Source organism: Homo sapiens, chromosome 2 (genome assembly GCF_000001405.40).
Source record: "Homo sapiens chromosome 2, GRCh38.p14 Primary Assembly".
Taxonomy (NCBI): Eukaryota; Metazoa; Chordata; class Mammalia; order Primates; family Hominidae; genus Homo; species Homo sapiens.
Window position 1 is genome coordinate 10,575,369 of NC_000002.12, and position 13,394 is coordinate 10,588,762.

The window sequence follows — 13,394 nt, forward strand, 5'->3', positions numbered from 1 at the left end:
ACTTCTATGAACAACTGCCCGAATAAGTAAAGTTTACTGTAAACTAGAACTCAAGTAAAACTGAGATTTAATAATTAAAATGTCTGTCAAGTAAGGAAACACACACATCAAACATTAATTGACACAGTCCTCAAAACAGTTTCAAAGCCTCTGCTTGATTCAGTTATGAGGCCATTTAAAGCAATTCTTAATACTTTTTTTATAAACAAAAATATAATTTCAGAGCCATCTTATTTTCATTTTACTACAAATTTTAAACTGATCTTCAACTCAGTACCTCCCGATTTAGAAACAGTGGGAAAAGGCTTGTATTTTCATGTTACTGCAAGGTAGGTGCTCACTCAACCCAGCAGAGGGGCCTCTGCAGGAGCTGAGGTGGCTGTGCTGCAGACCTGGGATCCTTCCAGGCTGTGCTGCTCCTGCCCCATTTGACATCACTTGAGTTTCAGAGGGAATCAACGAATGTTTCCAGGTATAAAGAAAATTGATAAGAAATTAGGAACAGGCACAATGAGGTCCCTCTGAATGTGTATTTGGCTTACGTAAGTGATAAATGTAAGAGGGCAAATTTGCTCTCAGCAGACAGAATTAACTGAAAAGCTTTTTGCACTTAGAATAATGAAGTTTTTTATTACTTGGCAAGCCTCCTGGATGCACGTTGGGAAAATTTTAGAGAAATCAGAGATGAATGGGTACAGGATGTGATGAGGTAGTTCTCCAGAGATGACACACAAATGACCAATAAGCACATGATAAAATGCTCAACTCATTAGTCATTAGGGACCTGCAAATCAAACAACACACCACTCACACCCACTAGCATGGCTATAATAAAGATGACCGACAGAGACAGGTTTGGTGTGGATGTGGAAAACCTGCAACCCTCATACGCTGCTTGGTGGGAATGTAAAATGGTGCAGCCACTGTCAGAAAACAGTCTGACAGGTTTCTCAAAAAGTTAAATAGCTACACTAGCAATTCTGCTCCTAGGTATAGACCCAAGATAAATAAAAACACATGTTCATGCAAAAATTTATACATTCATTTTCACAGCCAATTATTAATCGCTTACCCCAAAAGAACACAACCCGTGTCCCTTAAAAAACGAATGAATAGCAAAATGTGTTATATACGTACAATGGTATATTATTGAGCCATAAAAAGAAATGCAATTCCAATGCAAGCTACACCACTGAATGAATAAACCTTGAAAACATTATGCTCAGTGAAAGAAGCCAGCTATGAAAGACTTCACATTGAATGATTCCATTTGTATGAAATGCCCGGAACAGGCAAAGCTATGGAGACAGGAAGTAGATTAGTGGTTGCCAGGGGCTGGCGGATGAAAAGATGGGGGTAAATGCTAAAGGGTATAGGGCTTCTTTCTGGGGTGATGAAAATGTTCTGGAATTACACAGTGTGATGGTTGCCCAACTCAGTGAATACACTAAGAACCACTGAATTGTACACTTTAAAAGGATGCATATGGTCTGTGAATTATATCTCAATTTTAAAAAAGAATAATCTCCCTACTACTGCTTAAGGAAAAAAAAAGGGATGAAATCTTTGTCATTCTGTTCTATTTGGTGACTATATTGAAGAGGACTGACTTTGAATGAGAAAAAAATTTTTTGAGAAATAAAACTGTATCCAGTTAACAGTAAATATTTAAGCAGCTTACTCCTCCTACAATGTGACAGGTATTATTACCACTGGCTAAAAAAAATGGATCTTATAAATCAATTTAGAATAGAATGACCACGGGCAGAGTAGTCTGTCTTCTAAAATGATAGTATCTGGGCAAGCTGGGTGTGACTGTCACAAGTTATCAGAACTCGCCAATTCCCGGTCTTCTTCAAAGTCCATATACATGCGAGGTAGCCCTACATCCTCAGAGGGTCAGGATGTAGTAGCCCTACATCTTTAGAGGGTCAGGATGGGACTTTTGCTTTATAAGCCGCACCTGAGGCTACAGAGCAATCCAGAAACCAAGACGGCTGGTTCATCTCCAACAGAGCTAACTCCAGGGCCACTAACTCCCTGTCTCCCTTGGAACACCAGTGACATTCCTGGCTCTGCTGCAGTCACACACTGTGCTCTTGGCCCACCAGGGGCTCTGGTTGCAAGGAAAATGTTAGAACAGGGAACACAGCTTCCTCAATAGGGGAAAAGCATTGAGAAGGCTGCTCTGAGGACACACACACAAACACTATTGAAAGGCTATTTTTCTTTTGTGAATTAAAAAATAACAATAAAAGACAACTCACCCTCTTTAACGTGAATGTCAATTGTTTGCTGCCAACGGTGGTGTCGGATACACTCAATGTCCCATTTTTTGCTTCAATTTTCAAACGATCTTCAAGGGTTTTGCTATGGGAAATTCAAAAGAATGCCACATTAATCAAAATTATGTTTTAATTTACCATTTGAAACAAGTTTTGATTAGAATTGATAGCGAAGAAAAATGTTTACACATGTAAACAGAAAATATCATTCATTTAACACAATAAATGGAAAGAATTAGGTGCATTCAAATAGTCATTATTCATATTCCAGAGATAGACTGTAAAACAATGGCTGGCAAAAACACCCACTAATTTAATATCTTAAGTGGCAGGACCAAACACTTCAATGCCTGCTACTTTTCTTACTAAAATCAATCATATTTCTGAAGACCAAATGCAAAGAGCAATCTACTCCTGAAGCCTGTAATTGATCATAATGGTCAATGGCATTTATGATATAATGATATATTTAAACAATACACAAATTAGGTATGTGAGTAATTTGGCCACTCGTCCACCTTTTACAAAGGAATGAGCACAAATTAAGTCCTCCAGGTCAAGCCACAGAGAAGAGCTATGATAATTCTCGTTTTTCCTTCACTCAGTCTTAACTCCGTAGACTGCAAGCCATCATCCCACAGCATGAACAGCTTGAAACATGAATCTGTCTGATGACGCTGAGAGAAAACAAAAGCAATTACACTTTGGGTAACTGTACCTGATTCAGCTCTAGCCACTGCTATCTCTCCAGGTACCTTTCCTTTTAGTTTCTTACTTGACTTACTCTTTCTGACATACTTTATTCCAAATTTAAATCTCATTTCATTTCTTGATCACATTTTCCAAATTTTTCTAGGCTCTCTTTATATAATCTGTGTCTCTGTTACAGTCTGCTGTGCCCTGCATTTCACTGTCATCTGTGTAATTAACACAATCCCCCTCTGCTTTCCAATAAAGAGGTTAAGTTTGAATTTTGTACCCATTATAAAATGAAACTTCACTGCAAGTTATAATGTTTTATTATAAACTAGAACACTGGCCCTTTTTGTTAACTTGGTTTAGAGGGAAATAAACTGAATTAAGCCTAATGATATATATTTTCAGTAAGTTTAAACAGTTACTCTAACTTTTCTAGAAATGGCTAAAGCAATAGATTCCTATCCCCCTGATAAGATTGAGAGAGATGCGAGGGAAGACAAAGAATATGGTTCTCTTCTATTCTGTTCCCTCCTCAAAAATAGTATACTGTCTCCTGTCCTCCCTGCCCCAGATCAAATTCAATGCAGCCCTTTAAAGTGATGGCTAAGAAACCTGACTGAAGAAAGAAAAAGGCTGAACTGTGTGAAAGAGTCTTTTTTTCCCTGAAATATGATCTTTGTAACTAATTACTGAGAGCACAGCTCCTAAATGATCCTTAAGACAAAGTGATGCTTCTTTGAAATTCTGAAGCTAATGTTTGATGCTCACACCATGTGAAATTTATCTCTAGTTTACAACTCGTAGTAATGTACTAAACATACCTTCTTTATATAATTTGAGACATAAAGTGGTTAGCATAAAAGTGGCACTCTTTTCTAAGCAATAATGTTATTAAGAAGCACTTTTAAAGTACTTTTCATCTTCAAAGTTATTTATAGACTAACTAATTAATCCTTTCAACATCCCTGAGACAGAAGTATTTATCCTTTATAGATGGCAAAAAAGGGAGGTAAGATGTGAAATGACTTGCTGCAGGCCACGTAAGGATTCAGTTCTAAGCAGGATTCCAATTTCAGAATTGCTGGTTTCCAGGCAAGTGTCAGGCCATACTTGATTTACACAGTTTTGTTCAGGAAACTTGTCCATTAAGTATTCTCAATGACAAGCTTCCACATGACAAACGGAATGAAATGAAGATTTCGGTTAGCTTTTTTTTTTTTTTTCCGAACAATTCAAAAGTGAAGTGTAAACGGACTCTGGCATGCATGTGAATTATGTGAGCCTCAGCAAATCCCTCAACCTGTTCATGTCATTCTTCTTCTTTCTTTTCATAGCTATAAACTCTGAGGTTTCAAAGTTAACAGGGCTGCTGTGCCTATGGAGTAGCCATTCTTTTATTCCTTTACTTTCTTAATAAACTTGCTTTCACTTAAAAAAAAAAGTTAACAGGAATTCTGAATAACTATGGAACCACTGAGAGAAGATGGTATACAGAAAACACTAATTTAGGAAGAAAAAGACTTTGCCAGTAAATTGTGAGCAATTATTACTCTGTTAAGAATGACCTTACTTCCTCCATGATAGGGCATACACATTCTGGGGTTTCTCTCAATGTACTTTCAATGTGCACTTGTAAAAACTTGTTCTGTCTAGGCTATTTGGAAAGACAAGCTGAGTTTTGGAACAAACCATGGCAGAAGATCAGACACAGACAGAGACCGTGTGTGGAGGTTTCTACATTAAAGAAGTTCCACTTCCCTCCCTTTGAAAGTCAGTTTACTGAAAGCGTTTGCTAACCCAGCAGTTCCACAGCCTGCTTCTTGAGTGTGACTTCGGTCAGAGATGACCTAAGTAGACACTGCTGTAGGAACACCTGAAAATTCCTTATTGAACAGAAAAACAAAAGGCAGAACACCACACTGCATGCGCTTCTCAGCATGTTTCTTCCAGGACACTGGCAGGTGGCAGAGGAGGATGGCAGAATTGGCCTTTCCCTCCCCCTCCTCTCCCCTCCCCCGCTCCCTGCCCCGCCCCTGCTTCTTTTCCCTGCCTAGGCTTTACTTTAGGTCTGACAGCCATGGGGGACTTTTTCACTGGTGTATAGTAAAGGATTCTAGGGGAAAATCTAATTGGAACAAGCAGATAAAAACAATCCCCAAACTTGTGATTGCTAAGAAAATAGATACAGGCTTTACAATGTTGAAAGTGGGTAGAATTACTCAGTGTAGAATGCAGAAGGCTCCCAGGGGAAGAACCTAAATTATTAGTAAATTTATCTTAAAATAAAAAGGAAAGTGGGCAGAAACTACTAGGAAGAAAATCAAATTAAATATTTAGATGCACCAGGGAGGCTAATTTACTTTGGGGTTTTAAAATACGAACACACGCGCACACACACATATTTAATTAAAACTCAATGCTCCTCAGATGAGAGGTTTTGAATCCCGCTGCATGGAAGGGGCGGTGTGGGGGTGGAGGTCATATTCATAAAGGCATGTGCTTCAGGACAAAATTGAGAAGAGTTAATTAACTCTAATTAAAGGAGCCCTCACTCCATAGTCTACACCGGAGGGAATAAACTAGAAAATGGAGAAAGAGAATCCACAGATAAAGGATTAAGTATTTTTTAAATTTAATTTTAAGTACTTTGCTTTAAATAACTACCTTTGACAAATATTTACATATGCCATAAGGTTTAGTAAAAACTTTATTTGAATGCTTTCCGTTTCCATGTGTTGCTTCAAAGGCCCTATTTCAAGAGACTTAAACTCAGGCAACCACGAAATCTGATGCCTCATCTATAGGCATAACGAAGATGTAAAAGATTCTTAATATCCGGCGTTGCTGGAGTGTGGGGAAACAGGCGCTCTGGCCAGAGTGCAAAGTGCTCAAGCCTTTTTGGAGGGTGATCTGGCAGTCTCTTATCGCATACCCCCGCTGATCCAGCAAACTCCTACTAGGAATACGCTTTAAAGAAATACTTGTCCGTGTGCATACACACATTTGCGACTGTGAAAGGGGAAAGAGAAAAAGCAGCAACCTCAACACCCATCGTCAGAGAACAACATACATCCCAGCACACCCACCTTATGAAGTATTTATGCAGCCAGAAGGTAAGCCTACTGTACGTACAAAGAAACGTTTCCAAGACTTGCTGCTAAACAAAAAGAGCAAGTTAAAACAGTATAATTAGGCTGGGCACAGTGGCTCATGCCTGCAATTCCAGCATTTTGGGAGGCTGAGGCAGGAGGATGTTGTGAGGCCAGAAGTTCAACACCAGTCTGGGCAACAAAATGAGACCCCATCTGGACAAAAAATTTAACAATTAGCCGCATGTGGTGGCCTGTAGTCGCAGCTACTCAGGAGGGTGAGGTGGGAGGATCATTTGAGCCCAGCAGGTCGAGGCTGCAGTGAACCATGATTGCGCCTCTGCACTCCAGCCTGGGCGACAGTGTGAGACCCATCTCAAAAAATAACATGAGGAGTATGAACCATTCATGTTAAAGAAAAAAAGCTACAGGTATAGATGTGTGAGTGTGAACACATACGGGAATGAATGCATTTTTTAAAAGAGAGAAGTGTGGTGCACACACAGCCATGACCTCAGGGAGGGAGGTGGGGGACAGGAGAGGCTTTAACCTTCAGCCCACACTCTTAAGTGTTACAATGATAACATGCCTACATAGTACTGAGGACGTATTCCTTGAGTAATACAAGATTCTCTTTTTAAAAATGTAAGCCTGGAATTTAATTACTTTCCAGATTAGATTTTTAAATGCTTATATTAAAACAAAGCTGCATTACCTCAGCTCTTATCCACTATCAGAGGAATGTGAGCTGAAGAGTAAAAACATGCCATATTAATTCACAAAGTGGATAATGTTGCAGACACGATAAAAAGCTCACCCAAAGCTACCAAGCTACCCGGTGAAGAAGATGAGCTCCCCAAAGGCAGGGACTGTCTTAAACATCTTTGAATTTCTAGGACCTACCACAGGGCAGGTACTTCAAAGAATGCTTTCATAAATGGAACTGAAAGGCTGCCTGGCAGCTAATATTGACTACCCAAGGAGAGAAGTTATCCCCATCTACTGAAACGTGGAGAGTTTTCATTCTAAGGACTCTCTTTCTCCACTGTTCACCAACACACACAGCTCCACTCCTATACCTTGCAGGTCATGGCTGCTCCAGATACCAGAAAAGGCTGATGTGCCCAGATTCCTGAGGCCAACAAGCATGGCCTTCCCAATCTTTCTACCTCTAACCAGAATGATGTCCCCTATGTTCACGCATCTGGACTTCTTTCCTCCATGTCTCTGAGGATGCATACCTTGTCTTTTCTGAGGCTCTCCTTACCTGGTACTCGGGCCCACTGCCACCCAGTTCCTTACCAGATGCCACTTTATCAACTGACTCAATTCTCTCCATTCCTTACTACCCACTTTCTGTGGCTGAGTCTTCTCTGCCTACTAACAAATCACATCTCTCAAGTCTATAAACCGCTTTCCATCAAGTTATTGGCTTTCATCCCTTTCTTTCACTACCAAACTTCTTGAAAGACTCACCGACACTAACTGTTTACTGTGTTTTCTATCTCCCAGTCACTTGTGTCTCTATTGCAGTTGGCCACTTGGCAGGACTGAGAAACGAGTGCCAGTGAGGCCATCCGCATACTGGCCTTTTCCCAGCCTTCATTCCTGGGCCTCTCTACTCCGATGGGTGTCAGGACCACTCCCTTCCCTGAGACACGCTCCAGGTTTGGCCCTTTCCAGTTTTCCTCTCAGCTTGTTGACAACTCCAGTATCTTTACTGTCCATCTTCTCCTCTGTCTGCTTTCTAACAGAATTTTTAGTTCTAGGCAATCAGTACATCTGTGAATTCTCTAAAATTCTATGTAAATACATCACAGGCATTTGTATTTTTCTCTAGAGAGGTGTATGGTATGGATTTTATCACAGATTCAAGTAAAATATTTGTTTTTCCCCAAGCTTCCATTCTTAGCCCTAATCTTACTTTATACAATGACGCTAAATCTCTTTTCATTCGTGATCTTGACCACACAATAAACGCTGGTATCTCTCAAACTGACATCTCCAGCCTCCTCTTCCTGGGCCCGATGGACACTGCCATTGGTTTACTGAATGTGACACAGAAGACGCATGGGCTCCTTTATTTAATGTGCACAAAACCCAGCTCATTACTTTTAGCCTTAAACCTATTTTGCATTCTGTATTTTTTACCTCAATGGCAACATTACTAGACATCTCTACGTCATCCCTGACTATTCCCTTCTCCTTTGATATTATTAGGAACTGATGGTGGAGTTTGTGCTCCTTTTTCTTTCTCACTCTTAGTCTTCTGGTCTGTCTGCTCCTCTCCACCCCATCGTTCAGGCCTGTGGCCCTTCTAACTGGGATGATTCTAATGGTTTGAGAGCTGGTCTCTGGGTGTCCAGGTTCTCCGCACATTGTCTTTCTAAAATGGAGATATTCTGCTAATGGGTTTCTGGGAATAGGGACTTTTTATGCCTATGTTTTTATTTGCTACAACAAACATGCACTGCTTTTATTACAAAAGTATTTACAACACTAGGGGAGGGGTTGGAATAGATTGGATCCCATTCATCTAAGCTGTAAGATCGTGGCTTTCCAGTGCTTGCTCGGCTACCCCTTCAGGCACCCCATGCTCTGGCTGTAGGAAGGCACCCCCAACCCTTCGCATGGCCTGCCTGTGGCTGCACCGTGCCTCTGCCAGGAATGCTATCTTTCCCACCAGCCCTGAATGCTCCACTCTGCATCTTTCCACAACCAGTTTCCATATGATTTCAAGGCTCCCCAAATTCAGCTCCTTCCTTCTTATGCTCCTTTCCCATGAGCGCTTCAGGTACGCAGGCCATGTCGTTCTTCCCATCCCCTGGGTCTAGAATGCTGGTATGCTCGCACTGAGCAGTTGATAAATGCTTGATGAATGAATGGGTGGTGGAGAGGCTGATAAGTGGATGAACAGACTCACAAACAAAGTTAGCCCACTGTAAGGCATAAAAATATGTGTCAACAGACACACGTGTTTATCTAAAGCCATATGACCACACCAAGCAACGCAGACAGCTCACTCAAGTCTCCAGCTACCATTCACGATCCACCTTTCCCTTTATAGAAACATTTTAAAGCTAGGCAAGTCCAAGTGAACATTTAAATATAACACATTCAATCTGATGTTGTCTCTTGTTGACTGGCTTGCGGTAACTTGCAGAATAAACATACAGAGTCACTTTAGTTCTCTGAAGGATCGTGGTTTAATGCTTCACCAAATACTCATGTAAATATTATCACTTATATAGTTCTCAAAAAGGATGTTTAACTTAGTGATATTTAACTTAGTAAGAATGTTTAACTTGGTGATATTTAACTTAGTAAGAATGTTTAACTTGGTTATATTTAACTTAGTAAGAATGTTTAACTTGGTGATATTTAACTTAGAATGTTTAACTGCAGTTTATTCACCTCGCTATGGGTTATTCTTAGATACAAATTTTTATCCTCTTTGTTTTATACCTCCATATCCTACTACAGCCCCCAGGCAAAAGGAAGAATGTTAGAGAGATTAGTCAGACCGCCTACCCCCAAATCACAGCCTCCTGTTGCTGTGGTTACACTCAAAACAACTGCTCCCAGATTTTCCTGGTCAATGGCTATGGGGAAAAGGAGTCCTTTCTCAGCAGATCTTGAAGGAGTAACTTCTGAGTTGCCTGATGTGTTGTCATGGCAAAAAAGATTCACAGTTTCAGCAAGTATTTCTCAAGTGCCCACTCTATTCTAAGTACTTATTCAAGAGCCAGAGATAAAGCAGTAAATAGAGCAAGACAAAAACAGCATATACTCAACAAATAAACTTACTCCACAGAACCAGAACAGCACAAACCAAGCAGGACTCCCAGTAAAACACCTACACATAACAGCTGTATAAAAAGTGAGGCTGCACACGCTGCTGGAGAATGTAAAATGGCACAGCCTGTGGACAAGTTTGCCGGTTTCTGAAAAGGCTAAACATAGAGTTACTATATGACCAGCAATTTCTTCCAATTCTTGCACATAGATGAAAACATATGCAAAACACATGTAAAACTGTATAAACCAATGTTCATAGCAGCATTATTCATAATAGCCAAAAAGTGGAAACTACCCAGATGTCCATTAACTGACGAAGGGATATAAACTGGTCTATACATACACTGGAATATTACTTGGTAATAAAAACAAATGGAGTGGAGTTGTCCCTTGGTATCCGCTGGGGAATTGGTTCCAGGACCTCCCTTGGATACTAAAATCCATGGATGCTCAAGTTGTATAAAATGGTGTGGTTATTTCCATATAACCTGTGCACACCCTCTCCTATATGTTAAATTATCTGTAGATTACTTATAATACCTAATACAATGTAAATGCTACATGCATAGTTGTTATACTATTGTTTAGGGAATAAAGTCAAGAAAAAAGTCTGTACACGTTCAGTACAGTTACAAATTTTTTCTGAATATTTTCAGCCCATATTGGTTGAATTTATGGATAAGGAACCCTTGGATACAGAGGGCTGACTACACCGATAGATGCTACAACACGGATGAACATTAAAGACACTGTGCTAAGGGAAAGAGGCCAGCCACAAAGGGCCACACATTATACAGTTCCCTTTACATGAGATGTCAGAATAGGCAAATCGATAGAGACAGAAAAGTAAACTAGTGGCTGCCTCAGGATGGGAGATGGGGTAGGGTAAATGTGGGGTGACTGCCCATAAGGCGTGGGGTTTCTTTTTGGGGTGATGACAATGTTCTAAAATTAAGGTGATAGTTCCAGAACTCTGTGAATATACTAAACACCAGTGAACTGCATGCTTTAAGCAGATGAATTGTATGTTACATTACTAACAACCAGTGAACTGCATGCTTTAAGCAGATGAATTGTATGCTACATTACTAACAACCAGTGAACTGCATGCTTTAAGCAGATGAATTGTATGTTACATTACTAACAACCAGTGAACTGCATGCTTTAAGCAGATGAATTGTATGTTACATAAATTATATCTCAAGAAAGTGGTTATTTTAAAAAGTGAGGTTGGTCAGTAAAGAAAACACCTTCAAAAGATACCAAGAACATTATAGTTGGCCCTTGAATGACATGGGTTTGAACTGCACTGCTCCACTTACACGCAGTTTTTCCAATAAAAGTTAACACCATTACTCGCCTCCCCTGCCTCCCTTCCACTTCCTCCTCTTCTGACTCTGCCTTCCGAGACAGGAAGACCAATCCCTCCTCTTCTTCCTCTTCAGACCACTCAACATGAAGACAACAAGGATGAAGACCTTTACAATGATCCTCTCCTACCTAATGAATAAATATATTTTCCTTTCCTTATGATTTTCTTAATAACATTTGCTTTTCTCCAGCTTATCTTATTGTATGAGTACAGTATACAATACATAGAACATACAAAATATGTGGTAATTGACCCCTGACTGTTAAAAATTCTGGTTACCAGTAGGCTATTAGTAGTAAAGTTTTTGGGGATATTCTAGGTTCTCAGTCACCAAGAAGGTTTAAAAAAAAAATGAAGTTTTCAGGAAATCAAAAGTTGTATGTGTTAGGTCTAGACTTTCTAGTGAAAATAAATAACACAAAAAGTTAAATGTATATATATATACATATATATATACATATATATACATATATATACATATATATACACATATATATACATATATATACATATATATACATATATACACATATATATACATATATACACATATATACACATATATATACACATATATATACACATATATATACACATATATATATACATATATATACATATATATATACATACATATATATATATACACATATATATATATATATTTTTTTTTTTTTTGAGATGGAGTCTAGTTCTGTTGCCAGACTGGAGTGCAGTGGCGTGATCTCAGCTCACTGCAACCTCTGCCTCCCGGGTCCAAGCAATTCTCCTGCCTCAGCCTCCTGAGTAGCTGGGACTACAGGCACGTGCCGCCACACCCAGCTAAGTTTTATATTTTTAGTAGAGACGGGGTTTCACCATGTTGGCCAGGATGGTCTCCATCTCCTGACCTCATGATCTGCCCCCCCCTTGGCCTCCCAAAGTGCTAGGATTACAGGCGTGAGCCACCGTGCCCGGCCTAAATGCACATTTTTTACTTTGCAGGGGGTTGGCACTCCTAGCCCTCGAGTTGTTCAAGGGTCAACTCTACTAGCTTCTTTATTCATGGACATATCTTTAGTTAGTTCATCAGAACCAGAATTTTGAGGTGCTTCTGAATTCTAAATTCAAGGATTCACTACATCTGGTGTTGCAGATATTTGCTAGAAGCTGGTGAAATAAAGATGAATAAAACATATCTCAACCCCAGAAACAATTCCACCTGTTCACTGATGTCCTCCCCACCCTTTTCCTCCTCCCACTTCGGAGAAAACACCTTCTCCTGCACGGAGAGCTGGGAGCTGGAGAAGTACAAGGTACAGAAATGTACTGACCCCAGCCTAACACCTTGTCTATTCTGCCCACTCCTCTTGCTCCACCTCAAGACTGCTCCCTTGGCTCCCCAGACATTCCACTATTCTTTTAAGACATCTCCTGTGACCGTCTATCATATTCCAATCTTGTGCATCAATACTTTGCCTAGGAATTCTCAAAGCAGAGACTTGCATAATTTAGAGTTTACATACAACTTGGGCTTGACACCTAGCTTGTTCCTGACTCAGACTCCTGACAACTGAAAATTATTCAAATAAAACTACCTTTTTTGGGGAAGGTTAATTTTTTTGGAAGGGTGGTAAATATTTATAACATAAAACTTACCATTTTAACCATTTTTAAGTAGACAGTTCAGCAGCATTAAGTACATTCACACTGTTGTACAACCACCACTACCAACTATTTCCAGAACATTTTCATAATCCAACCTGAAACTCTGTACCCATGAAACACTCGGCAACCACCATTCTACTTTCTGCCTCTTTCTACATATTTGCCTATTCTAGAATACTACTCTTTTCGATCTCTCAATTTTCCTGAAAAAGACTTAAAATTTCTGGCAAATTTTCCAAGTAACCTTTTCAATAACCAGGTAAAGTGAGATGGGGTAAACATAACCGAGGTTCTAATTTTTTAAAATAACTTTGTGAAGAAGCAGAAAAGTTGTCATCTCCTAGCAACCACTGTCCAAAAGGCTTCAAACCACTGATCTGTAGGGCACAGAGTAAGTATTTGTAGGTGAGGGAACCCCATGGGGAAAAAACAAGGACAAGGAAAGTGTGTGGCTTCTGCAGCTTAAAAGTGTTCCACTGATACTCATAAGGCTCTCTCTACCCT

The 13,394-nt window shown here is 39.8% G+C and overlaps 1 protein-coding gene across 7 annotated transcripts in view, besides 1 other annotated feature; it reads right to left on the bottom strand.

The window, feature by feature from the left end:
• NOL10 (nucleolar protein 10) overlaps positions 1-13,394 on the bottom strand; it is a 119,222-nt gene that overhangs the window by 4,615 nt on the left and 101,213 nt on the right. For all 7 annotated transcript variants that reach the window (NR_048552.2, NM_001261392.2, NM_001261394.2 and 4 more), the window contains one exon: positions 2,268-2,370. Coding sequence is in view for 6 of the 7 variants with exons in the window: in NM_001261392.2 (NP_001248321.1) it covers positions 2,268-2,370 (103 nt within the window). In the remaining variant the exon portion in view is untranslated. The remainder of the gene's footprint in view (positions 1-2,267; positions 2,371-13,394) is intronic.
• Positions 229-1,428: an enhancer, noted in NCBI's record as "P300/CBP strongly-dependent group 1 enhancer chr2:10715723-10716922 (GRCh37/hg19 assembly coordinates)". NCBI's record gives its function as "activates an origin of replication core promoter dependent on BRD2, BRD4, P300/CBP, MED14 and CDK7 cofactors, with strong dependence on P300/CBP, by STARR-seq in HCT116 cells {active_cell/tissue: HCT116}" and the evidence as "EXISTENCE:reporter gene assay evidence [ECO:0000049][PMID:35650434]".